The following is a 26,449-nucleotide window of genomic DNA, read 5'->3' as shown; positions in this document are numbered from 1 at the left end:
CGTACAGCACCTCCATGGCAGAGCTCGAATGAAAATGGGTCTTCTGGTTCCCAGGCTGGACACAATTTATGGGAACCCAAAGGTCAGAATTGTTGAACTTCTGGGGAAAGTTCCCCTGATAGGTGATGGAAAGAACATGACGTTGGTGCATAGTCAGTGGACCAGAGGTGTCTGTCCAGTGGGTATCATGTGCCAGGCCAGGGCTCAGGAGTCTGTGGCCCTCTCTCTCCTGCCCTCCTTGCTGGCTGTCTCTGGTACGATGGAGACAGCATGGATCACACACCTCTGCCTCAAATCCTGCCCGGGAGGGTGACATGGACAAGCTTGCAGGGCGTGGAGGCTCAGGCTGCTGTGGGAGGGTTGGACCTGGCACCCTCCTCATGTGGGAGCTGTGGGGACCGTGCCTTGGGGAACCCACTGCCCAGGAACTTCCCGGCTGCTGGCCTTAGGGCCCCAGGACACTGCTGGGCCCCTTGAGCTCTGAGCCATGGATCTGCCGAGGGAGCTCACTGGAGAAGTCCCTTCCGCTCAGCAGCAGCCACAGGATTTGGGGGTCCCAGTGCAAAATGAAAATGCAGGGCCTGGACCAGGGCAGGAACATGGGTCCTCTCTTCCCTTTGGCCCTACATATCCCTAGTCTTACTCACCCTGCCAGCCTCCTGCCCCCCAGGTTTGGCTCAAAGGCTTGGGGCTGGAATCACCTGAAGCCTCACTCAGTCACATGCTTCCTGGTTGATGCTGGCTGTCTGCTGGGACCTAAGCTGGGGCTGAGGATCCAACACCCACACTTTTCCTCTCCATGTGGATTGGGCTTCCTTACAAGATGGCAGCTGGCTCCTGGGGGAGCATTTCAAGAGAGTGAGCCAGGCAGAAACTGCATCCTTTTTATGACTTCTCCTCAGAAGTCACATGGCATCACCTCCATCACATTCTCTTGGTTGGAGCAGTCACAAGCTCCCTAGGTTCCAGAGGAGGGGAAGGAGACTCTGCTTGTCTTAGTCTGCTTGTGCTACTATAACCAAATACCCAAGACTGAATACTTCATATCGAACAGAGATTTATTTCTTACAGTTCTGGAGGCTGGGAAGTCCAAGGTCCAGGGACCGGCATCTTTCAAGAGCCTTCTTGCTCCATGATCTTATGGCAGAAGGACAAGAGCACATGTGAGAAAGAGGGAAAGGCTGTACCCATTCTCTCATCAGGAACCCACTCCCTCAACAATGACAATCCATTCATGAGGGCAGAGCCATCAGCACCTAATCACCCTTGCGATAGTGTTGAAAGGTCCCACCATTCAACACTATTGCATTTGTGTTTACGTAAAGTTTTCAGCGCATGAACTTTGGGGGACACATTCAAACCATAGCACCACCTCTTGATGGAATAGTGGTAAGGTGACCATTTTCGGAAAATGCAATTTGCCACAATTCCCCTTTTCTTCTTGCTCAGCTTGTTGGAAGTTATTTTACTGGTGGTGTGAGTCAAACCATCACTCTGAGGCTTTCAGGCTTGGAGGTCCCTCCTGAATGGGGTTGTGGTGTCTTCCACTGGACATCATGGTAACACAGCTGTATCCAGGAGATCCTCTGGGTTGTGGGCACTCTCTTCATGTGGTTCTTCAGGCCTCCTATCCTTGATAATCAGGGTTGATTCCCCAGCCACTGCCTTCATGCTGCTTTGCTTGTTAACTTGGTGGCACCAGACAGGTGGCCAACTCAGCCCCCAGGGCAGCAGAGCCATTCCTGTGACCCCTGGTGGAAACATTCCTGCACTGGGCATTATCTTGGGCAGTCCCTAGAAGGGGAATGTGAACTGGTGGAGAATGTAACCATGAGAGACACCACCCCATAGGTTCTGCCTGGGGGAGAAGGAGCTCCAGATATAAGTCCCTCGTTCTCAGCACACACCCCATCCTGTAGGACAGCACCCCCTCCGCATGGGGCATTGTTTCTAACTGGGGTCTTCAGGCACCCTCTTCATTGCACAGGAGGCCACCTGCTTCAGGGTGATGGAGGAAGCCAGGGAATTCTGGAGGCCTCAGGTGTGACTCTGCTTTTTTTTTTTTTTTTTTTTTGCTACAAAATAGTTTCCTTGTTGGAAGATTTAAAAAGGGCTCTGGAATCTCAGGTCCAAAGTTCTTGCAGAGGGGGAGAAATGGCTACCTGCTGTCAATACCTTAGTCTTTTAAGTCTGTTTAAGCATCTCTCCATCCCCCATCCATCCTCCCATTCCCCATCCATCCATGCATCCATTTATCCCTCTAACCCCCATCCATCCATCCACCTATCTATCCATTCCTCCCCATCCATCCATTTATCCATCTATCCTTCCATCCCCCATCTATTCATCCATTCCCCATCCATCTACCCATCCATCTACCCATACCCCCATCCATCCACCCACCCATCTATCCCTCTAACCTCCATCCATCCATCCATCCACCTGTCCATCCATTCTTCCCCATCATCAATTTATCCATCTATCCTTCCATCCATTCATCCATTCCCCATCAATCCACCCACCCACCCATCTATCCCTCTAACCCCCATCCATCCACCTATCCATCCATTCAGCCATCTATTCTTCCATCCCCTATCTATTCACCCATTCCCCATCCATCCACCCACCCACCCACCCATCCACCCACCCATCTATCCCTCCAATGCCTATCCATCCACGTATCCATCCATTCCTCCCCATCTAGCCATTTATCCATCTATCCCTCCATCTCCCATTTATCCATCCATTCCCCATCCATCCACTCACCCACCCACCTACCTGTCCATCTATCTCTCCAAGCCCCATCTATCCATCCACTCATCCATCCCCATCCATCCCCCATCTATGCATCCATCTATCCATCCCCTACCCACCCATCCATCCATTCACCCATCCATTCCCCAGACATTTGCCCATCTTTCCCCCATTCACCCATCCATCTATTCATCCAATTCCCCCATTCATCTACCATCCACCCATCCATTCCCTATCCAGCTCCCATCCATCCACCCACCCATCTATCCACCCATCCACCAACCCACTCATCCATCCATCCATCCCCTATCTATGCATTCATTCATTCATTTCGCCACCTGTCCCCCACATATCCACCCATTCATTCATTTGCTCTCTGGACAGCTGCCTTCTAAGCACCCCCACCCCACCTACCTGGGCTCAACATAGGAAGTAAAGCAGGACTCCTGTGCCCCAGAAGCTCCCAGTGTGGTGGGAGTGCATCCATGTAGACAGAGAAGCCACATTCACCATGGGCGGCACAGAGGAGGACACAGGAACAAAGGTGTCACAGGTCAGGTAACATTGCTGGGGTCTAGGTAGCTTCCAGATGGGGTGACCTTGACCTGCAGGCAGGGAGGAGCTGGTGACCTCCCTCCCATCTAGGGTCACCTGCACAGTCCTGTAGCAGCCAGACACCTAGAACCAATTTTTGGCCTGACGTTTTCAGTTCTCCCTTTAACCAAATCATTGCTCCTTTTCCCGGCGAGTTTCCAATTTAGATACCCAAATTGTTTACTTGCTGAAATCAATCGACAAGGGACCAGCTTGTATTTGTGATTCAATTGACTATGATACACTGTATTACAATTACACCTCGAATGGATTTCTTTTTAATTTATTTTTCTCTTAACGGTCTCCTCCGCGGTAATTCCAAGACTAATTGTCCTCCTGATCATCCTCATCAGCTGGAGGAAGGATAATGAATTGCTGCAGTTCATAGAGGATGCCGGCCAGGAGCTGCCGGGTCCCCAGCCCTCCCAGCACCCCTTCCCTGGGTCCTCCCTTTCAGGCCGGCCCACGTGCTGTGAGCTGAAGTCCTCCCAGGCGAGGCTTCACTGTCAACGGTTTCATCTGTTCGGCTCAAGATGGGGCGAGTCCCAGAGGAAGACGGCAGACCCTGCCCCTGCCCCTGCCCCTGCCCCTTCCGCTGTCTCGTGGCTGCTCTGCGAGTTCCCATCTGGCAGGGAGCAGCCTGGAGGCCCGTCGAGTTCTGAGGGTCTGTGATCTGCTGCGTATTCCTGAATGAACCTCTTCTCCCTGGGCCTTGGTTTCCCCATCTGTGAGATGGGCCCCCCGGTCTCTAGAGCCCCTTTGGCTGAGACCTTCTGTGAGTCTGTTTAGGGCTCGGGGAAAGGAGTGCTGGGCAGTGCGTCCTGCATGACTCTGGCTCAGAGCCTGCCTCTGCTGTCACCTGTCCTTCCCCCTTCCCCTCACATCCCACCGTCCACTCTGGGGTCTGTGTGCCCGTGTGCCTGGTGCCAGCTTGGCACCAGGTGTTGGACTGGCTTGGCTGTGCAGATGGGCATCATTGCCAACCCCACTTTCCAGATGGGAATATGGGAGGCCCTCAGGTACCAGGGGCCTTCAGCCCAAGAGCCGGGCTTCACCCCAGAGCCATGTGGCCATGGAGGCGCTGCTCCAGCTGTGCCCCACTGAGGGCGCTTGCCTGTGCTCCCTTGGGAGAGGCTTCCCTGAGCCCTGCATCCACCCTGGGGCTTGCTTCGGTGAACAAGCCACACCCTGCCCTGGCATGTCCTGTAGCCGGGAGAGGGGAGGCGAGGTCTCGCCAGGGCTCAGGTGGGGCCCCCAACACCACCAAGTGGAGACCCCTGCAGGAGAGGCCACCAGAGGCAGAGATGCCACAACCCCCTGAGAAGTGCTTCCCGGTGTGTAAGTGCCTGTGTGTGTTTGTGTGTGTCTTGCTTCGGTGTGAGCATGTGTGTGTGTATATGTATGTGAGCATGTGTGTGTGCATATGTATGTGAGCATGTGTGAGCATGTGTGTGCATGTGTGTGCATATGTGTGTGAGCATGTGTATGTGTGCATGCACGTGTTCCTTGCGCATGTGCATATATCTGCATTGTGGTGTCTGTGTGTACCTGTGTGTCCATGTGTGTCTCTGTGCACATATGTGCCTGTGTGTGTGTCCATGTGTCTCCGTGTGTGTCTGTGTATATGCGTGTTTGTGTGTGTGCATGTGTGTTCACGTGTGTGTGTCCATGTGTCTCCATATGTCTGTGTATATGCGTGTTTGTGTGTGTGTGCATATGTCTGTGCACGTGTGTGTGTCCATGTGTGTCTCTGTGTGTGCATATGTGTGCATGTGTTGGCACGAGGGAGCCACTCACAGAGCCTGAAGCAATGGGGTCCTGGCCCCTGTCCACCTGATGCCTTCCTGACCGGGCCTCAGTTTCTCATTTGTGATGTGGGGTGAGGGTGAGAGGCATCTGTGTGGCCCTTTAGAGGTGACCAGATGCCTTTGTCCGTCCTTTGTCCTCTGACCTTCACACAAGTGAGGGGTGTGGGGGGTGTATTTAATGACCCCCCTCAGCACCTGGCAGCCTCCATGGTGGACCCAGCATCTGGGCCTCTGCCCCTGCCCCCCACCCCCGGCGCTCCCTCCACGCTCTGACACATGGGAGACGCACAGCTCCCCAGGCTTCCACATGGATTGATTTGGCGGCCCCAGGAATAGATGTGTCCATACATTAGGTGCATGTGGAAACATGGCCCCAATAACCCCAGCCCGCATGCCTCTGTCTGAAGCATTCTCGCACCATGGGAATTATTTTGCTATTTTGGGGTATAGATCCTTGCAGGAGCTGAGATGCCATTTCCATCGTGGGTGCCACGATCATGAAAAGGAGAATCAATGACAGGGTGCGAGGCGGGATGAGGGAGGGGAGCCCCAGCTGTGTCTGGTGCCGGAGTCAGCCCCCAGGCTTCCAGAAAGGTCCAGGTGCCGAGGGCACCCAGCTGGAGTCAGCCCCCAGGCTTCTAGAAGGTCCAGGTGCCAAGGGCACCCAGCTGAAGTCAGCCCTGGGCTTCCAGAAAGGTTTGGCTGCCAAGGGCACCCAGCCTGCACCTCCTGGCCTCTCTGAATCCGCCAGAGGTGAGGTCAGCGAGGATGTCCAGCCACAGGAACCAGGAGCTCAGATGACCTTGTGGACTGGAGGGGACAGGAGACCTCCCAAGGCCACGTGGCAGCTGGACACGGGCAGGGTCTTGCCCAATCACTTGAGTTTCTGCCCCACAAATACACCAACCAGAGGGAGACAGCGCCCCCTGCACATGCAGACCCTGTAGACCCCGAAAGCTCCTGTTTGTGGAGTCCCCGCCCCTGGCCCCGCCCCTGCTGACCACCCTGGCCCCGCCCCTGCTGACCACCCTGGAGCAGCCCCTTGGGCTTCATCTCAGATGCACGAGAGGTCGTGGGTCTGGGTTCTGACTCTGGTTTCAAATCAAGCTTGGTGGTTCAAACTTAGGAAGGTCGTTTCCTTGACTTCAGACTCCTCATTTATACAATGAGCCAATAATACCTTCCCCCGAAGGTTCTGAGTAGCTGGCATTTTGATATCTTAGGGAGGGGCCTGGTAAATGCAGCACTTTTGGCTCTGTGGGTCTGTACTGTCTGCAATGGGCTGGGCCGCTCAGAGGCAGTGAGTGTGCAGGCAGAGAGTGGGGGCTGGGCCGCTCAGAGGCAGTGAGTGTGCAGGCAGAGAGTGGGGGCTGGGCCGCTCAGAGGCAGTGAGTGTGCAGGCAGAGAGGGGGCCCACTGCTCAGGTGTGGGAGGCTGGGTGAAAAGGCTCTGAGGTCTCTTCAAATAGAGTTGAGACAGAATGGCAAGGATGCCCAGGATCCGAATCACCCAGCCACGCCTAGAACTGCAGACGTCCTTCCGGAGCTGCACCCCGGTGCCGCAGCCAGGAGGCACGTTCTCCCTGCCCCTACCCCTGTCCCAGGGGAGGGGGCTGAGGTTCCCAGCAGCACCTGCCATGCACTGAGATGCCAGGGAGCCTGAATTCAATTATGCACCAGGTGTTATGTATGTGGCATCCCACGGATGCATTGATTTCTCAGGTTGACAGATCGGTTATGAATCAGGTAATAGACCAGCTTGTAACTGAAATATATTGGATTGTGCAGGCGGCCTGGCTGAGTATCGGCTTGAGGGAAATAGGGCAGATTTACGAGCCTGGGAGGGTGGCTGGGGCATCAGCCGTTCACCCTGCACAGTCACAGCTGCTAGCCTCACACCTGTGCCCAGGGAGCCGGGAAATAGAGAGTTGATCTGGGAGAGGAGGAGGGAACAGCACGGAGAAGGGTCCACAGGCGGGAGGGCCCAGGAAGGGGGCACAGAGCAGGGCAGGGAGGCTGTGGGCCCTTGAGAGACCCTGGGGGCAGCATGGGAGGATCACGGGTCTGGAGTCCAGGGCAGTGTGGCGCTCCTAGGACCTGATCATGGTTGTGTTCCCTTTCATGAGGGCTTCATGCCCCGGGAACTTGTCAGTGATTGCCTGGGTCCCCTCCGATGACACTCACAGCCCAGGAGTCAGATGCCGTCATCATCCCCTTGCAGCTAGGCAGGCCAAGCTCTGAGATGGCAAGAAACCTCTCTGTGCCATGCAGCCGAGGGGAGGCCAAGATTGCAAAGCCAGACAGGCTGACTTTGTGCCTTTTGCTTCCCCGTTCAGCTCTTCTGAACCATGACAAGCAGGAGTGAGGCCCCATGGAGGGGGCCCTGCCCTGCCACTCAGGGAGTGCACCCCAGGCCCCCGGTGCTCAGCCTGTTCGACCTCAGCCTCTACACACAGCAGACCAGGACAGGGGCCCCGCTCAGAGGTGGGAGCAGTGCTCTGATCTGCCTGGCAGAGGGCGGAGACGGCGGCTGGAGGGCTCTCAGGGTCAGAGCTGGAGGCCTGGGCATGGGAGGGCAGGGAGAGCCGGGCTGGGGACTCCCGTCATCCACAGTACTTGGCTGATATCACTGTTCAGGTGTTGCCTCCCTGCGGGGAGTCAAATGCCCTGAGGACAGGGGGCCTTTCTTTCCATATGCAGAGCCCAGCCAGGGCCCGGCCTGTGAGAAGCTCAGAGAGAGGGCAGCGTGAGCGGATGTGGTGGACATCTGGGAGCACCCACAGTCCTGGAGCTTGGACCCGCCTGAGATGAGACACCAGGGCTCAGGACTCAGCCTCCAGTCACAGTCCGCCTTCAGTATGTGACCTTGGTCAGAGCTCAGACTGTGACCAGAGCAGGGCTCAGTTTGGGGCCAGAATCATGGCTTAGACTTTGCCTAGGATGAGGCTTGGATTATGACCTGGGTTAGGACTCAGTGTATGGCTATGATCGGGGCTCCGTGTGCGGCCCAGATCAGGGCTCGGGGTGCGGCCCTTAGAGGAAAGGAGATGCCTAGGCCGCTGGAGAACAGAGCTGTCATCCCCTGGGTCCCTTCGCTCCACGCTTTCACCAAGGACCCGATCAAGACCATTAACGGATGCACAGAAGCTTCTGGATCTGCTCAGGCCCCTCTGTGGTGGGAACCCCCCGGCCCCCCTCTCCCTGCTGTGGGTCTCTGTCACTGAGTGGCCCCGTGAGCATCTCTAATGAGCTCCTTCCAGGGGGAGGCTGGGGGGGTGGAGGGGGCCCAATTTATCTCTATTTATGCCTCTCCTTATAGCTCCACCAGCTTCTCAGTAATCTTTATGGGGTTCAATTATTGTATCTTCAATTGATATGAGTGATTTCAATGGTTCTTGATGTTCCGTGTTAAATCTCCAGTGGAAAATATCTTCAACGTTCAGCATAAAACACCTAGTCATTGCCGGCAATGCAGCCACGGAGGCCTCGCCGGGAGATGTGGGCCCGGTTCTGGGTGGCAGGTGAGGTGTCCTCACCCCTGGGCCCACAAATCAGTGTGGGGTGACACCCCCTCCTCCACCCTGGCAGCTAGAGCACCTCATGGTGAGAACTTAGCTTTTATGGGAAAATAGAGCTGGGGCTTGAGGCTGGGAGCGACCCGACATACCGGTTTCCTGTTTCTGTTGTAATAACTAACCACCAACCCGTGACTTCAACCAACAGAAGTTCGTTTCTCACAGCTCCAGAGTCAGAAATCCAGAAGGAGAGTTAGGGGCTCCATCTAGGCGTCGGCAGAGCAGGCTCCTCCCAGAGGCCCCATGGGAGGCTCCCTCCTGGCCTCTGCAGGCTTCTGGAGACCTTCTGCTTTCCTCGAAGCCTCTGTCTCGCAGCCCTTCCCCTCCTCACACCTGTCTCCTGCCTCCCTCTCTTTTTCTTTTTTGAGATTGGGTCTCGCTTTGTCACCCGCGCTTGAATGCAGGGCTGGAGTGCAGTGGTGCCATCATGCTTCACTGCAGCCCCCATCTCCTGGGCTCAGGTGATCCTCCTGCTTCAGCCTCCCGGGTAGCTGAGACTACAGGGGCACGCCACTATGCCCGGCTAATTTTTAATTTTTTTCTGTAGAGACGAGGTCTTGCTATTTTGCCCAGGCTGGCCTTGGCCTCAAGTGACCCTCTCACCTCGGTCTCCCAAAGTGCTGGGATTATAGGCATAAGCCTGGCCACCTGCCTTCCTCTTAAAAGGACCCTTGAAGTGACATTTAGGACCCACCTGGGTCCCCCAGGATTGTCACACATCTCCTGGTCCTTCACATCCGCACATCCCTTTTGCCACGTAGGGGGCATATCCGCAGGGTAAGGTCCATGCATGGTGTGTTTCCATGGTAACATGGTAAGAGGGAAACACGCAAGGACAGGTCCTCACCACGCCTGTGAAAGCCCCAAGGCTGCCCTGATAGTTGCAAGGGGTGCGGCTGCCAACCCTACCTCTTGTGTTTGCATCACTACCATCCTCCCCCAGTAAGAGCAGCTGATGCCCCTGCCCAGCCCACACAGGAACTCCTTGTAAACACACTTTGCTTTGCCGCAGCTTGTATGCATCTTAAAGGAAGTTTCTACTGAGCCGTGTCCCCTCCTCAATGTCGTTCAGTCATGCAACAAACACCTGTGCATACAGAAGGAAACAGAGGTGGGTCAGACACCAGGGACGCTCAGCGGGAGGAGGCCGGTGAGCAAACGCATCTCACAATTCGGCAAACGAAGGCTGCAAGGTGCCTTCCAGGAAGTCTGGACCGTGGACTGAAGGGAGGATGGTGGCAGGGTGGTCTGGAAGTGGCCAGGAGTAGCGGCGACCTCGGCCTGCCTCCAGGTTCTGCCTCTATCTCGTGCCATGGACTGCAGGCAGCCCCACTCAGCAGGACAGGCTGTGCTGATGCTGGCTGTGCAGTCCGGTGGGCTCCGGGATGGGCAGGAGGGAGATGGGCATGGCGAGGAATGTGCAGAAACGGATGAGGGCGGGAGAGTCATGGGTGACCTGGAGTCGGGAGAATAGGCCTGATGAGATGTTTCGAGTGGTGTCAGGCTGGAGCCCTGTGGGAGGCGGGTGGGAATGGGGATACCCTTTTACCTCTGATGAAGGGGCTAGGGCCCTTGGCCAGTCCCAGGGTGAAGGCCTGCCATCGCACAGGGTTACTCGAGGTCTGGATCCTGCATCACAACAGCAGCCCACATCCCACAATAAACAAAGGTGTTGTTATTAGGAGAGCTTGGCATCCCTCGCGGGCTCCGTTTCCTGGGGTTTCACTCTGTGAGTGCAGGAGCTCTTCAAATGTTTTGCCAATTAGACTGAAAGACCCATGAGAGGGCAGATGCCAGGAATCCCCAGGCAGGGACCTGCCCAGAGCCACAGGCCCAGCAGGATGAGAAATGCTGTGGGGGTGAGTTGGGCTGTGGGCTCAGGCCACTGCCAGAAATAAGAGCAGTGGACAGAGGGCAGGTGACCCCATGGAAGTGTGGGCAGCCCAGGGGGTTTGTGGCAACCCAGGGGGGTCAGGCAGCCCAGGGGGGTTGTGGCAGCACCACAGTGAAGCCCAGGCTCCTTTCCTCCTGTTTCTCTGCTGTCCTCGACACACAGCTTCCATCTGTGGCCAAGGTGGCTGCTCTTGCTCCGGCCATCACATCTATCCTCTGGCCAGCAGGGAGGGGAGAATGGACCAGGGTGGCCGGCTCCTTCCTGTTAGCAACTTAGCCCAGAGGCTTCCCTCGTCCCATCCCTCCATCCTACTGGCCATATGTTGGTCCCAGGACTACCCCTGCTGAAGGGTGGCTGGAAAACAGAGTCTTTAGCCAGACAGCCAGAAGCCCTCCAAAACTGGGGGAAAAAATCGCAGGCTCTGCTACACTTAGCTGTTGTTAGTGAGGGAGGCGTCCAGGACGGGCCGAGAGGGCAGGCTGTTAGTGAGGGGGCAGGTGGGAGGTGAGTCTAGAATGTTCTCTGACAGAGTGTCTGGCAGAGTGCCCCCCCTTCCTTGTCAGGCCTTTCCAAGGACCCTTCAGGGAGTGTCCTGGGGTGTCTGGGAGTTTCCAGGTGTACGGGAGGGACACCCTCCGATTCTCACAGTCTATGGAGGGAGCAGCCTCACCCACGTCTCAGCGAAAACCCTCCCTCTGCTCACCCCAGCCACACGGCTGGAACTCCAGCCCACTTCTGCTGCCTGTGAAGTGAGTGAGGGCGTGAGGGCTGAGGGCAGTGGGCAGCTGGAGGCTGGGCTGGGCAGGGGTGGAGGGGTCTGAGGGCCCTCGGGAGAAGGCAGCTTCCGGCCTCGTGGCGCTGGGACCAGGTGGCCTGAGCTAAGTGGGCTGTAGCTGCCGCCCCTCTCTCTGCACTCACCTGGGAGCTGGGGAACCTGGGGGCTGGTCCCTGGCGCTGACTTACCCAACGCACTCGCTCTTGGGAGAAGAGAACCTGGGCCTCAGAGTGGGGCAGCAGCCGGACAGGAGAGAGGCAGGGGCTTGCTGCTGGGGCCATGGGGACTCTCCCCCTTCCTGCCCCAGCCCAGCAGCTGCTAGGGGCAGAGCTGGTGCTCAGAGCCCGCCTTCCCACAGAGCCCTCCAATGAGAGGTCTTGCCCCTCCTCCCTGGGGGCGGGGTCTGGAGAGGGGCGGAGCCTTTCTCCCAACAAGCGAGTCAGAAAGAGGTGCCCAGTTTAGGAGCTGAAGCAGCTGAGTCCCAGGGCCTGACAGTCAACAGGACCCGGTAGCGATGAGGCTGCATTGTTCTGGGTGCACAGTCAGCCTGACAGCCCTGCGCGTGCGAAAGTCGACTCCTTTGGGTGATGGAGGCTGTGGGCTGCCTTCTCCCTGCACTGGGAAGGGGCGAGGCTCCCGGCTACACCAGCTCTGTTGTGGGTTGGGGACACTGCCCCTTCCCGAGCCCAGTGCCTGTGGGACCTACAGTCCTCCCTGAGAATCCTGCAGCCCTTGAGTGACCCCAGCCTGGAGATCAAGGACCTTACCTTGGCACCCAGGCCTGGTATGAGCTCTGACTTCAAAGTCTGAGCGCTCTACCCCCCCGGGGCCACGCACTCTGTCACCCTAAGCGTTCTCCCCCAGCCCCTGCTGTCCTGCAGATGTCCTTGCAAACTCAATTTTCCTTCTGTATGCAATTCTCTTGCACCTCTATTCCATCGGCAAACTCCTGTTAGTGCGTCAAGACAGAATCCTGATGTCTCCTCCTCCAGGAAGCTTTCCCTGGTTGCACTCACTCCCTGCCACCTCCTCTCCTACCCTCCACATGCAGGGGTGGTTGTTGCCTCCCTATAAGCAGCTGCCCTGGCCTTTCTAGGGGTGGCTCCCCACTGGGTTCAGTGCGGCTTGTCCTGTGCAGCCGGGCTGGTCCTCAGGAAATTGATGCTTCCCATCACTCGCCTGTCTTCTTGGAACAACTTCAGGGTTTATTGAATCTGGAAAGAAAGAAGAGCAAAAAAAGGGAACCATGTACATCGCACAAATCAGTTGTTCTGACAGTTTTATTAAATAATGGGGCGGTTCAATCATGTTGTGAAACAAGGCTCTGGGGAGGAGGCAAGAGGCAGGATCTGGGGCTGGAATTTCTGGAAGAAGTCTAGCATCTTCCGGAATTGATCGAGCCTCCTTCATACTGTGGAAGATGTGGGTTCAGACCCAGGCTTTCCACCAGCAGCGGGGTGGCTGGGAGCCTCGCCCTCCCTGCTCCCACCTGCTTGCTTCCCAGAGGGTCAGGTGCTGGTGCTCCAGGCCTGCTTGCTGTGGGAGGGAGTCGCTGAGGAGAGCCAGGGAGCCATGAGAATTCCCTCTTCAGGGCCTTTTCTAGGAGGGCAAGAGGAGGCCGAGGCCCTGAGAGAGCCAATATGGGGTCTGGGCCCTCGGCTGGGAGGGTGGAGGCGGTGGAGGAGACACGTCTATTTGACTCCACCTGCCGGGAGCTGGGTGGCTTGTGCTAGGAGACCCTGGCAAGCCCCCCAGCCCCTGCACCGCCCTCCCCACCCGGCCCAAGCTCCTGGCCTTCAGCATCCAGAGCTCCCAATGAACTTCCCAGGTCTCCCCAGGATTCCCAAGGAACCTTCATGCAAGATGCAGTGGACTCAGATAGAGAGGGCCCAGCCAGGCACGCCCTGAGGCCTCTTCCTGGGGCTTCCACAGGTCTCCTGCAGCTGCTGGACACTGAGGGACGCTGGCCACTGTGGGCAGTACAGCATGGTGCTTGGCAGGCGGGGCCTGGAGCCTGCCGGGTCTCTCCTCCTCCAGCCTCGGCTGCCGTCCACAGAATGGGAAATACCTGTGACTTCCTGGGACAGGATGGGATGTGGTGGCTGCGTGGATGTGCACCATGAGCTTCCGGGCCACCCTGCTCGGCGCTGACCAGTCCTTACCAGGTGGGTGTCACTTGCTTTACAGCGGGGCTCAGAGGCCACACCGAGGGGCAGCAGTGCCGTTGGCTCTGGGAAGAGGTCCCACCCAGGCAGGGGTCTGGCCCCTCTCCTCCCAGGCCCTTGCCCTGCCTGCTACGGGCTGACTTTCAACATCTTTCTCTGGGCTCAGCTGCTCGAGGCTGCTACTCAGGGGCTGGGCCTGTTCCATGAGCCCGGCAGCCCTGTCTCCCTCTGTCTCTCAGGCTCTGCCACCCTGGCCTTTCCACCTGCTCCTGGCTGCCAGCTCTCCGACACCTTCATCCTTGGGTTTGGCTTTGGACCCTGACTGGGTCAGCAGCCTGGGTTAGGAGGCCTTCCATTGCCCTCCAGGGACTCCTGGGGCACCCGCCATGTGCTGGGGCTCTGAGGGCGCTGGGGAGCCGAGGGCATGCAGTGGGGGGTTGGGCCCAGGTATGGGAGCTGAGGGCAGCACGGCCATGGGAGGGGACCTGGGGGATCTCTGGATATCAGGGCAGTGTCTTTGCACTGAGGGATGGCACTCCTGGAGGTTCACTGCTGGTTCCAGAGCACAGAGGTGTGACTCCTGGAGGGTGGCCAGCCCTGCGGGGGGTCAGAAGATGATGGGGACAGTGCGGGGCGAGGCAGAGGCTCTCAGGTCCCCTACCGGACTTCAGGACGAATCACGTGAACCCGCCAGCATTTCACAGTTTTGACCTACAGAGCCAGCAATGTCACATCGCCGACCCCAAACACCTCAAGGGTGTCACCACCAGGCTGGGCTTGGGCTGCATCCCGTGGTGCCCAGGAGTGTGAGTTTCCACCCTGCAGATGCTGTGCCAGCTGGGCAGGGTGAGGACGAACTAGAGAAGCAGGGGCAGAGCAGGGCCCGGCCCCAAGCCCTGGACGCCCTCGCAGGTGGGACAGGGTCAGCGTAGCTCTGCAGGGCAGGTGGCCCTGGATGGAGCTCCAGCCCTGCCCTCGTTAGCGGGGTGCCCTCATGGGAGTGGCCTTGCCTCTGGGTGCCTTGTCTTTTGAGGGGGCATAAGAGTCTCATCTGCCTCCTGAGCTCTGCTGAGGAGGAGGAGCCGAGCTGTTTCGTGCGGGCGCTGGCAGGGCCTGGCGTGTGTGCAGCAGGCATCTTTGCTCCAGGCAGGGCGCGGGGCAACGGGAATGCGGTGACCCCAGGCTTCTGAGTTGGGATCAGACGAAAACCTTAGGGGGCTGGTGCCGGGATGGACCTCAAAGCAGGGGGTGGGGTGGGGGTCAGGGAGCCCTGGAGGGTGGGAGGCCAAGGGAACACCTGACCAGGCACCAAGGCCCCTGCCCTTGGGGACAGCTGGGGAGAGGGTGGAGCGACCCCGGCGTCGAGTGTGGATAAAGCTGTCATCCATCTACCCCAGTCCTGCTTCTGAGGGGCCCCCTCTCCTTCCCCACACTGGTCAGGCCATGAGCAAGGAGGGGCACCCCACAGGGAAGAGGGGGCCTCTTGCCCGGCGGCTGGGCTGACCTCCAACCTCTGACCCCTGACGGGCTGGAGCACCCCACATGAACAAGGCACCTGTGCAGCAGAGACCTGAAAAAGAAGCAAAAGAAACCCTCGGGGAGAAGCAGTGCCCCTCCCGTGCGGCTCCTGCCCCTGGCAGGCCTTCTTTCTCCAAATAGACCAAACATGGTAATTTTATGTACAAATCAAGCCACGCATTATACGTTTTTATGTTCTTATGTTAACAAAGTGACTTTGGATCCATCAAAGGCACGAGAAAAAGGCATTCCATTTATTTTTGCCCCCTGAACAGCCCTCCTGTCCATCATCCTCCCCGTCATGGCCCTGGCTGCACCTCCGGATGGATCCAGCCCAAGCCCCGTCACACAGCAGTGGCCCGGTCCCCCTTGGAATGGCGAGCCTGACCCTCCACCGCCAACCTCCTCTGACCTTCCGAGGCCCCTCTGACGCTCACACTGGTGAGTCCTTGGCCTGACACTCGGAGGCCGAAGAGGCTGTCACCTTCCACACCCCCATGCCAGGCCCTCTGCACAAGCCTGTCTCATTCCTCTCCCTTCCTTGAATATTTCCTGCCTCTTTGTTTCTACTCAAAATGCCCCTCACCTGCTCTCTGAACCCCCTGGTGAACTCCTACACATTCTTCAAAACCCGACTTGAAGCCCCCCTCCTCTGTGAAATCTCCCATCAGGGAGCTGACAAGTGCTATTACTGAGCACACTTTATGTGTGTCCTCTCTCAAAGCCAAAAGGGCACCTTGTACTGCCAGACAGGCAGGAGCTCAGAGCTGGGAGGAGGGGCCAAGGTGTGGGGAGGAATGGTGGGATTCCGTCCGTGGGTCAGGGTGAGCGGATGCAGAGGGAGGGGCTGCGCCTGCATGTGGGAGGTGCCCTGCTTTGGGGCGCAGTCAGTAGAGACCAGACCACAGAGGGCCCAAGGGCCCTGCATTCCGTTACACTTAGCAGGTCCTGTCCGTGGTCCCAAAGTGGCTGTGTCCTGGAGACCCTCACGGGCCCCAATGCTGACCTGCTGCCCTCCCCCTGAAGGCCCTCCTTGGGTCCTGGGCTGAGGACATTGGTGAGGAAGGGACGGGGACCGATACCAGGAGGCTGGGGCATGACCATGGCCAATACCCTCCTTATCTGGCTGCCCCCTGGGGAGAGCTTGTGGTTCCTGTTCAGATCCTGGCTGCCCTGGCCAGCTGTGTGACCTAGGGCAGGAGACGGGCCTCTCAGAGCCTGAGGTCATCGAGTTTCTGGGAGTGTGGTGTTGCCTTGCAGGGTGGCGGGGCGGCTGGTCCCGTGTGTAGGCTGTGATCCAGGATCCAGGCTGGCGGGAGGCGGGCCACCATCTGGATGTGCGTTTCTTGGTTTCTGTAAAATGAAGACGTGAGCCGGTGTGGCCCATGCGATGCATGAGTCTGGGGCATCCGTCGTCTCTTTGACCTCTGAGTGGGGGAGACACTCTTGCTAATGGTGGGCATTTTGACAGCCGGCAGAGTCTGGAGCCGGAGGCCAGGTGGGCCTGAAGCTGGCACAGAGCAGATTGGGTCCCCGAGGCCCGGGTGGGGTTAACTGTGGGTCAGGAGGCCTCTGTTGTCTGCTGCTGTGGGCTGGGCTGGGCTCCTGATGACAAAGGCACCTCCCAGCGCGCTTCCAACTGGGTCAGGGTGCATGGCAGTGGGGGGTGGCTGAGGGTGGGAGGGAAAGGCGGGGTGCCCAGCTCTCTGCTTGGGCTTAGTTTACTGGCTCCCACAGAGTGGCTCCGTTTTGCACCAGTGAGCCCAGTCCCCCACTCCTCCCTCCCTGCTCTCTCCTCCCTCCCGCTCCTCCCTTCTCCCTGCTCTCTCCTCTCTCCTGTTCCTTCCTCCTCCCTGCTCTCCCCTCCCTCCTGCTCCTTTTTCCTCCCTGCTCTCTCCTCCCTTCTGCTCCTCCCCCCTCCCTGCTCCTCCCTCCCACTCTCCTTCATCCCTGCCCTCCCCTCGCTCCTGCTCGTTTCTCCTACCTACTCCTCCCTTCCTCCTGCTCCTCCCTGTTCTATGCTCCTCCCTCCTTTCTGCTCCTCCCTCCTCCCTGCTCCTCCCCCTCCCTGCTCCTCCCCGTCCCTGCTCCTCCCTCCCACTCCCTCTTCATCCCTGCTCTCCCCTCCCTCCTGCTCGTTTCTCCTCCCTGCTCCTCCCTCCCTTCTGCTCCTCCCTGTTCTATGCTCCTCCCTCCTCCCTGCTCCTCCCCCTCCCTGCTCCTCCCTCCCTCTCACTCTTCTCTCTCCCTCTTCCTTCCCTCCCTCCTGCTCCTCCCTCCCTCTCCCTCCTCCTTCCCTCCTTCCTGCTCTTCATCTTCCTTTCATGGCTTTGGCTGTAGTTCCATCCCTGGGCTGAGTCCTCACTGTGAAACAGATGGTGCCAGTGCTGAGGCTGCCTTCATGGGGACCCCTGGTGGTTTGCCCCCGAGTGTGTCCCCTGTAGACCCCGCTCAGGGACAGGGCCCAGCACGAGCCAGGTGTGAGGAAGGGTTCTCTCCTGACCTGGGAGCTGGAGAGCAGAGGACTGTTGGGACCCAGGTTGGGAGCTAGGTCCACCCAGGAAAGGGGGCTGGTGGGAAGAGACAGCAGTGGCCACAGCCCCTCACGTTAAACCTGGAGGTTCCCCACAGACTGCAGCCCCCTTCACCCAAGGAAAGTGGCTCTAGAGTGCGGGGGAGGGGATCACTGGGATCCCTTATACAAGGACAGGTTTGTGGAAGTTACAAAGGGATGTCCTAGCTAGTGGCATGTTCAGAGTATGGATGTTTCAACTGGAAAGACCTGGGTTTGAGTCCTGGCTCTGCCATTTAAGAGTGGTGTAAGCTTGGGCGACGACTCAGCCTCTGTGAGAAGTGAATCATCAGCCTGTCTGTGTACACAGAGGCTTTATCCCACAAGACACTCTTTTCAAGGACTCCTACTTACCCTTCAAAACCCTGTTGCCAGGCCGCCTCATTCAGGAACCTGGTTAGAGGACTGGGCTCCCCGCCTCTGCCCCTTGTTACCTTGCACCTGGCTGCTATTATCACTCTTTGGCCTTCTTTCTCTCCCACCAAGCTTCATCCTGAAGTGAGGGGCTGTGACCTACTCATCCCTACATTCACCACCTCCGGTGCAGACCCGGGTCCAGAGCTCACGTTTAACACATGTGCTGAGCGCAGCCGAGCCACAGACCTCACCGGATCATCCCATGTGTGGATCACCCCCGACTGGCCAGCGCTGTGCACTGCCCTTTCCAGGACACACCCAGGCCCTCCAGGGCCCCCCTTCCCTGTCTCTACATGACAGAGTCCATCACAGGCCTGGATACTCAGTAGCTGCTCAAGAAAGACACTCTCTTTCAATCCCATCCCTAGCTGATCTTCCACTTAATCATCGAGGATTTGTTGGGCGTCTTGTGACAGGTGTGACTCTCCTGAAAGATGCAAAAGGGAAGAAAGCGGGAGCCTGGACCAACAAAGACCTGAGATGAATGAGACTGAGTGTTTGTCCCAATGGCTGTCATCACAGGGCCCTGGACAGCCCAGGGATGAGAGAGACAGAGACAGGGAGAGACAGTGGCAGGGAGAGCCAGAGAGAGGGAGAGACAGAGCCAGAGAGAGACAGAGACAGGGAGAGATATAGAGAGAGAGACAGCTAGGGAGAGTCAGAGACAGACAGAGCCAGAGACAGAGAGAGACAGAGCCAGAGAGAGACAGATACAGGGAGAGCCAGAGACAGATACAGGGAGAGCCAGAGACAGAGACAGACAGAGCCAGAGCCAGAGAGAGACAGAGACAGGGAGAGCCAGAGACAGGGAGAGACAGAGCCAGAAAGAGACAGAGCCAGAGAGAGCCAGAGAGAGGGAGAGACATAACCAGAGAGAGACAGATACAGGGAGAGCCAGAGACAGAGATAGGGAGAGCCAGAGACAGAGAGAGCCAGAGACAGGGAGAGCCAGAGACAGAGAGAACAGAGAGAGACAGAGACAGGGAGAAACAGAGACAGAGAGAGCCAGAGACAGAGAAAGACAGAGACAGGGAGAGCCAGAGACAGACAGAGTCAGAGTTAGGGAGAGACAGAGACAGGGAGAGCCACAGAGAGCCAGAGCCAGGGAGATACAGAGACAGGGAGAGACAGAGACAGGGAGAGATAGAGACAGGGAGAGACAGAGACAGAATGACAGAGACAGAGAGAGCCGGAGCCGGGAAGAGCAGAGCACAGCGCATGGGGAGAGAGCAGAGTGGCCTTGTTAGCCATTTAGGCACCAGGTTTTGGGAGTGGTTTCCATGCATTGTTTCTTCGACTGTTATTGGAACCCCAGGAGGTGGATGCCGTAGTCACCATTCTCTAGGTGTGAGGGTGGAGGTCCGGCGACTGGCCGCAGCTCAGGAATTGCGTGCATGGGGTCTGCATGGCCTCGGAGCCTGTGCTTTGAACTCATTGCTGTTCCCCCTGATAATGCATGTGTGTGCACACGTATCTCTGCATGCACGAACTGCCCGTGTGCACAGGTGTACACATATGTGGGCCTGTATATGTCTGCCTAGGTTCATTGATGTGTGTGTGCATGTTTGTCATGCCTTTGTGCACATGTGTGAGTGCGCATATACATACGTGTGTGTGTGCATGAATGAGTGTGTGGGTGTGCATGCATGTGCACATATGTGTGGGGGAGCATGGGGCCATACAGGTGTTTGCGTGTGCATGTGTGTACGTGTGGGGCACCTGCACGTGTGTGAATGTGTGTGTGTACCCACCTTGTGGACAGGCCCCATCAGGAGCAGGAAGTCGGCACTCAGCGGCCTCAGGTGAGGAGACAGGATAGAGAGAGACAGCAGCGGGGCCTGCAGGGCCCAGCCGGTGCCTGAAGCTGCCTGATGAGCCCGTCAGTTCCCCTTTGGGCCTCGCATAGGTTGGTTGGAGTTTCCATCCCTTGCACCCAGGAGCCGTGTCTAGGACAAGGCTGTCTTTACCCTGCCTGGACAGCCCCCACGGTCACATGTGGCTGTAAAGGAGGCTGGGAAATGTGGTCTTTGGCTGGGCAGACATTGCTCAGAGGAAACTGTGTTTCTATAGAAAGAGGAGAGAACGGAAATCAAGGGGACAACCAGCCATTCTGCCACCCCCCACGCAGGACTTGACAATCTAGCTCCTGCTGGCATTGCTGCCTCCCTGCGGAGCCTGTGAGTCTCCAGCGGCTGGTCTGCCTGGTGCCTCCCGGCCCGGTCTTCCACATGCAGCAGGCCCTCTTCCTGGAGCAGGTTTCAGCTCACACAAATCTGCACAAACCCTGGTCATCCTTAAAGCCCAGCTGAAGCACTCTCATTCCAGGCAGCTGGCCCTAACGCCCTCATCTGAGATAGCCACTCCCTGCTCATGGCTCCTGACAAATCTTTTCCTTCCTCTGCTCTCGCACAGCTGAACTTCACAAGAACTTGGAGCATCCCTTTCAAATGGAAGGGCCGGATCCTGCAGGTGGGTGCTGCGGCTTCTCACAGGGGCTTAGAACTCAAGGTCACTGCAGGTCTCTGGTGGAGGGGCAAGCTCTTAGGTGTCCCCATCTCACCCCTCCCGCAGCCTCCAATCCAAAGAGGAATTCGAGCTTGACTTGTTCTGGTTCCAGGACCACGAGGAGCCTCATTTGCTAGTGGGTAGAGTCACTGCCTGGGGAGGGACTGCTCTTCTCGGAGTCTGTCGGGTGCCTGACCTCTCTTGAGGCAGGTGGCGTTTGTCAAGACTCCATATTTTTGGTTGGGACTTAGGGACGGCCTCTAGATCTCCAGCTGGGACCCAGTGAGCAGCTGCACAACCTGAACTGGAGGCCCAGGCTTAAGCCCAGCCGAGGATGCATGGACATTCGCTCTCAAGGCGTGTGTCTCCCTTATGGGCCTTCATGGGGGAGGCCCGGGGTCTGAGCATTCCTGGGTCCTTTGCTGCCCCCTGGCTAAGAGCGGTCTGTCCTACCATGTTTCCCAATAGTAAATAGGCATCAAATAGTTGTTGAATGAATGATTGAGGAAATGATTGTTTCACTGAATTAATCCACTGCAGGATGACTTTGGTGAATGAATGAGCAGGTGACTGTGGGAATCCATGTGCAGGCGTGTGTCATATAGGCATGTGCCCTGCAGACGTGTGCCATATAGGCATGTGCTGTGCAGGCGTGTGCCATGTACAGGTGTGTGCCATGTACAGGTGTGTGCCATGTGCAGGTATGTGCCATATAGGCACGTGCTGTGCAGGTGTGTCCCATGTGCAGGCGTGTGGCATATAGGAGTGTGCCGTGTACAGGTGTGTGCCATGTGCAGGCGTGTGGCATATAGGCGTGTGCTGTGCAGGTGTGTGCCATATAGGCATGTGCTGTGCAGGCACGTGCTGTGCAGGTGTGTCCCATGTGCAGGCGTGTGCCATATAGGAGTGTGCCATGTACAGGTGTGTGCCATGTGCAGGCATGTGCCTTATAGGCGTGTGCCCTGTAGGCGTGTGCTGTGTAGGTGAGTGTCACACATAGGTGTGTGCCATGTACAGGCATGTGTTGTGCCGGTGTGTGCTGTGTGCAGACAAGTCCATATAGGAGTGTGCCATGCAGGCATGTGCCATGTGCAGGTGTGTGCTACGGGATGCTCCTGGCTACCTTGTTCCCACCCAGCAAGGCCCTGTCCTGGGCTTGTAGCTGAGCTCCAGGCCTCACCACCTGTTTGGAGATGCTTCCTTGGAGAAGCCGGACGCAGCTGCCCTGAGGGTCTGGCTGCCTTTCTGGGCACTAAGCCTGGATACTTCTGGTTCCCGGGGTCTCCATCACAAGCTTCGTATTGTTTCCCATAAATTACATTATTTACCTGCTAAGAGCTCTTCCTCCTGCAGGCCCCTGAGGAGGCTCTGGTGAACAAGCTGCCTTCACCTCCCAGCAGAGCTCGAACCTGCAGCCACCGTGGGGAGAGGCAGTGGCCTTGGTGGAAAGCACAGCTGGGAGGTCAGTCAGGCAGGGCTGTGAGGAGGCCCCAACACTCTGGGACTTAGGCAGGCTCACCTGGCCTCCATAGCCAGTTGTGGTAGGAGCCCAGGTGTGGGAGGGCGTGTGCACGGGTGCCAGCCCAACCTCCTATCCACGTTCCATTCCCCGCAAATCACGGCAGGATGTTGTTAAAACCTCCTCATGATGGGACTAACTCTCAGAACTGCCCAGTCAGGCAGCCTGTGCTGCTAATCCTGGCCCATGAGGATGATGCCCTCGTGGGGATGCCCTGGGACTTCTGCAGAGTCCCAGGAGCCCCTTCAGACAAGCAGTCCTTAAGGGGAGCCCAGCTCTGTTCCCCAGGTGGCCCCTAAGCTGAATCCTAATCCTATGCAGTTTGCTCTGCCGAGTGCCGCAGTGTGCTAGGGCCCAGGTGCCCCGGCCCCCAGAGGAGCAGGCTGTGCCACCCTGTGCAGTCCAGGGCCCAGCAGCAGCGGCACCCCTGGGAACCTGGGCCTGCCCAGACCCACCGCATCCCAGCCTGCACTGTCTGCGATGGGGTGTACAGGACCCAAGGGCACCTTAAAGTTTGGGGGGCTCTTGCCCCTTACAGCCCAGTTGGCAACTGTCAGAGAAACAGATGGTCATAATCTCAGGGTGCAGGGAGCCCCAGAAGCCCCTTGCCCTGTGTCCCCAGTGGAGACTTCCCACTCTTGCCTCTGGGGAATGTCGTGGCAATGGGCTCCCCATGGCCGGATGGGAGGTGAACGCTGCTAGGGCTGAGTCCCTTGTCAGTGGGGAGCCCAGGTGGGCTCTTGAACTCTGTAGGCCTGGCTGGAGTGGGCTCCCCTCCTGTGGGTCTCTCCCAGGTCTTCCTGATACTTCTCCTGGTCGGGTTCCCTCCCTCTGCCAGGATCCTGGGTATTGGCACCCTGGCCCACTCCCTGACAGCCCGGCCACACCCTGGCCCAGGGCAAGTGCAAGAACAGAAGCAGACCACGATCTGTGCCTCCACCTGTGCCTCCGTGCAGCCCTCGCCCTGGCTGTGCCTCCGTGCAGCCCTCGCCCTGGGGTTCCACCTGATGTCCATCCTTCACCTTGCCTGCCCTGAGGGGGATTCAGAGAGCCCCTCTGAGCTTCAATTGTGTGTACCTACTGGGTGCAGACCCTATGCTGGGTGACAACCCACGGTGCAGCTCTTCCTCCCAGAGCCTACACAGGTGGAAGGTCGCAGGGCTGGAGGCGCAGGAGGTGGGTAGGGAGCCAGGTGGCAGGAGGTGGACCAATGCCTAACCCAGGTGGGCAGAATCACACTCTCACCCCTTCCCGCCCCTCCTGGGAACAGCCTAAGTAGGGCTGGCCTGGGGAGGAGGTGGGGCCACAGAGGAGCCCTTCCTTTCGGCAGAGGCCATGGAGGAGGGGCTGGGCTCCTGAGAGCCCAGGGGAACGTTCAGAGAGGCCAGGGAAGGTCTGGGTTGGGCGGACAGGAGCAGGGGCCTGGCCCTGATGGGACCTGAGCCCCAGCCCCCTCAGTAGCCCCACTCTCCTCATCTCTAACGTGGGCTAATGTTGACAACAGCTCTGCGGACTGCTTTGCAGCCAGGGCAAAGCAGGGAGGGCCTGCATGGGCAGCTGAAGGTGCCTGTGTCTGGGGCCCCCATGCTCCTGCTGGGGGCATGGCCAGTCCCCCATTCAGGTAGGAAAGAACAGAACTTCAGCCTGGTAGTGGCAATGGGATTTCTTGTTTGTATCTTCCTTTGATCTTTCAATCATTCATTAAGGTTTATTGAGAATTTTCTATATGTGGCACAGTGTTCTAGATCTTGAGGATTCTCCCTCAACTGGGAGAGAAAAGAAAGAAGATGGGCAATGCATAGGCCATCAGCGTCCTGTGAATATGCTGGAAGGGTTAGAGGCTGGCTGGTGTCATTGGAGGTCAGGGGAAGCCTCTCGGAGGAGGAGACATTTAAGCTGAGTCCTGAGTCCAGGCACGTTAGGATCTGGTGGGCTGGAAAGTTGCAATGAGATGGAGGCTCTGGGAACACCTGTGGGGGTCATGATCATGGTGCTGGTGATAGTGGAGGTGTTGATGGTAACGATAGTGGTGGTAATAATGGATGAAGATGATGATAGTGATGGTGATGGTAATGATGGTGATGAGGTAGTATTGATGGTGATGTTATGGTGGTGGTGATGACATTAATGGTGATGATAATAGTGATGATAGTGCTGGTGGGAATGGTGGTGTTGATAGTGATGCTGGTGGTGAGGGTGGTGATGATGGTGAAGATTATGTGGGTGATGATGATGATGATAGTGGTGGTGGTAGTGGGTATAATGGCAAATGCAGTGGTAATCATTGCAGTGGTAGAAGCTATTTATTGACCTTAAATAAATGGCAGCTCTGTGCCAAATACTTTGTTATGTATCAACTCATTTAATCCCCACAATGAGATAGATGCTAATATTTACTCATTTTACAGATTAGGAGACTGAGTCCCAAAGAGGGGCAGTCGCTTGCCCAAGGCCATGTGGCTGTTAGTGTTGGAGTCAGAATTTGAAGCCAGGGAGGCTGATCTTGGAACACCTGCTGTCAACAGAAACTTCTGACAAAATACAGAGGACTGCCATGCCTTCCGGGGTGTTCTCCCAGAGATGCCCCTTCTGCTATCCTGCCTGTGCTGCTGCCCTGATCATTACTGCAAATGGCTGGATTCATCTTTGTCAAGTTTGCACTTTCACCAAAGTTTGAATTAACGTCGACATTAATTTGCTGATGAAGCGCCTGCAGTAGGTCATATAGCGTGAGCACCTGTGATTTCCAAGGAAATTATTGTAATGTGCTAAATGGGAGATTTAAAGGTTAGTTGTTCCCCTGCAATCTATGAACTGTTATATGAAAAAGTCATAACTGAAATAATTGAAGTGTCAGAAAGAAAAAAAAGGATAAGAAATCCAATCAACAATTCTCTTATCCCTTACCTATCATCCTGATTTTATTTGGTATTTTGGCACTGCACCAATGCTGGAATATTGCTGTGGGCAGAGGGTGAGGGGAGGAGGGAGAGAACCTCAGAAGCACAAGTGATGTAGCTGGGAGCCTGGTTACTAGAGCCTGGTTGTTGGAGCCTGGTTACTGGAGCCTGGTTACTAGAGCCTGGTTATTGGAGCCTGGTTACTAGAGCCTGGTTATTGGAGCCTGGTTACTAGAGCCTGGTTATTGGAGCCTCGTTACTGGAGCCTGATTACTGGAGCCTGGTTATTGGAGCTTGGTTATTGGTGCCTGGGCTCTGGTTTTGTGCAGGCAGTAGGCCCCTTATCCCTGGAGGTATTCCGGAGTCCCACGGGTGGTCTCCTGGACGAGGTGCTGTGGTTGGTGACCTGGGAGATGCCCAAGGTGCTTTCTAGCTTTGAGCTTTTAGGGTTTTGGAGTTTTAGGGTCTGTTCCAGAGAAACAAAGTGGCTTCTCCGTGGCCAACACAGCAACATCAGCATGGGGTCCAGGCCTTGGCAAGTCCAGTCCTGGCTCATTCTGGCTGAGTACAGGGAAGAGGAGCTGGGGAGAAGTGTGGCAGGTGGGCGGGGGTCAGGCATGCTGGGGAGCGGGAGAGGCTGGAGACCAGCCTGGGCTGAGTGCAGGATGAGGAGGAGGGCACGTGTGCTCAGGAGCTTTGAGGAGTTAGCACTGCAATTCACGGAAATGAATAATACATTAAAGGAACATTAAATGGCATCAAAGCCAGAAATGATATCTGGCCAGGAGCCCAGAATCTATAAACAGCTTGGCTTGGTCTTGGGGCCAGGTTTCCAGAGAATCCAGGTCCGGGCAGAGCACATCTGGCCTGAGGCTCTGGGCTCCCAGAGGCCAGCATTACAGGTGAGTAGAGGCAGGCAGCCAGCGGTGGGGCGTGACACCAGCTGACACCGGCAGCCCCCACTGAATGCTCAAACCTCTTTCCTGCCAGGGCCCGACTCTTCACCATTCCTGGATTTGGGGGCAGGGCTGTGGACAGTAGGGGATTCAGCATGGCCCTGCGCAGCTGCCTCCTAACCTCGGCGTTCAGAAGCGTCTGAGGGTCTTGTAAATGGGCAGCTTCTCACTCAGCAGGGCAGGCGGGCCTGGGATGCTGCAATCTAATGCCCGCCCAGGTGGTGCTGGCTCTGCCGGTCCTCAGACCACACTGAGTGGTGAGTCCGATGAAGGACCCACCAACTAACACAGTTTTTCTGGATTCTTTGCCACTTTAGACAGGAGAGCTTGTAGTTTCTAAAGCCATTGGTGTCAAGCTGCTAAGATGTGCAGTCTGAAGGTTCTGGGAGCCGGAGAACAGATTTGTCTTGGAGGGGGCGTGAAAGGAGAGTGGGGGCCGGGGCAGTAGAGCTCTGGGTTCGTATTTTGGTTGTCTTTTTCTTGCTGTGTGTCCCAGGG

At 57.1% G+C, this 26,449-nt stretch overlaps 2 long non-coding RNA genes across 2 annotated transcripts, besides 3 other annotated features; one reads left to right on the top strand and one right to left on the bottom strand.

The window, feature by feature from the left end:
- Positions 1–1,040: 1,040 nt before the first annotated feature.
- LINC00051 (long intergenic non-protein coding RNA 51) lies at positions 1,041–11,688 on the bottom strand. Its single transcript, NR_024378.1, has 3 exons — positions 11,588–11,688; positions 3,169–3,359; positions 1,041–1,794 (listed from the first exon to the last, which is right to left on the bottom strand). It is a non-coding gene; the product is annotated as a long intergenic non-protein coding RNA 51 (long non-coding RNA).
- Positions 6,083–6,802: an enhancer, noted in NCBI's record as "H3K4me1 hESC enhancer chr8:143284603-143285322 (GRCh37/hg19 assembly coordinates)". NCBI's record gives its function as "activates a minimal SCP1, AML or CMV promoter by ChIP-STARR-seq in primed H9 embryonic stem cells {active_cell/tissue: H9 hESC(primed)}" and the evidence as "EXISTENCE:reporter gene assay evidence [ECO:0000049][PMID:30033119]".
- Positions 7,523–8,243: an enhancer, noted in NCBI's record as "H3K4me1 hESC enhancer chr8:143283162-143283882 (GRCh37/hg19 assembly coordinates)". NCBI's record gives its function as "activates a minimal SCP1, AML or CMV promoter by ChIP-STARR-seq in primed H9 embryonic stem cells {active_cell/tissue: H9 hESC(primed)}" and the evidence as "EXISTENCE:reporter gene assay evidence [ECO:0000049][PMID:30033119]".
- Positions 11,642–11,936: an enhancer, noted in NCBI's record as "tiled region #1162; HepG2 Activating DNase unmatched - State 10:DNaseD, and K562 Activating DNase unmatched - State 8:EnhW". NCBI's record gives its function as "activates a minimal TATA promoter and a strong SV40 promoter by Sharpr-MPRA in HepG2 and K562 cells {active_cell/tissue: HepG2 | K562}" and the evidence as "EXISTENCE:reporter gene assay evidence [ECO:0000049][PMID:27701403]".
- On the top strand, positions 12,515–24,899 carry LOC105375792 (uncharacterized). Its single transcript, XR_007061194.1, has 4 exons — positions 12,515–15,233; positions 15,358–15,523; positions 20,484–20,540; positions 24,504–24,899. It is a non-coding gene; the product is annotated as an uncharacterized LOC105375792 (long non-coding RNA).
- Positions 24,900–26,449: the final 1,550 nt, after the last annotated feature.

This window comes from Homo sapiens, chromosome 8, assembly GCF_000001405.40.
Source record: "Homo sapiens chromosome 8, GRCh38.p14 Primary Assembly".
NCBI lineage: Eukaryota > Metazoa > Chordata > Mammalia > Primates > Hominidae > Homo > Homo sapiens.
Note: the sequence above shows the minus strand (reverse complement) of the source record. Positions and strands in the feature narration are given on the sequence as shown.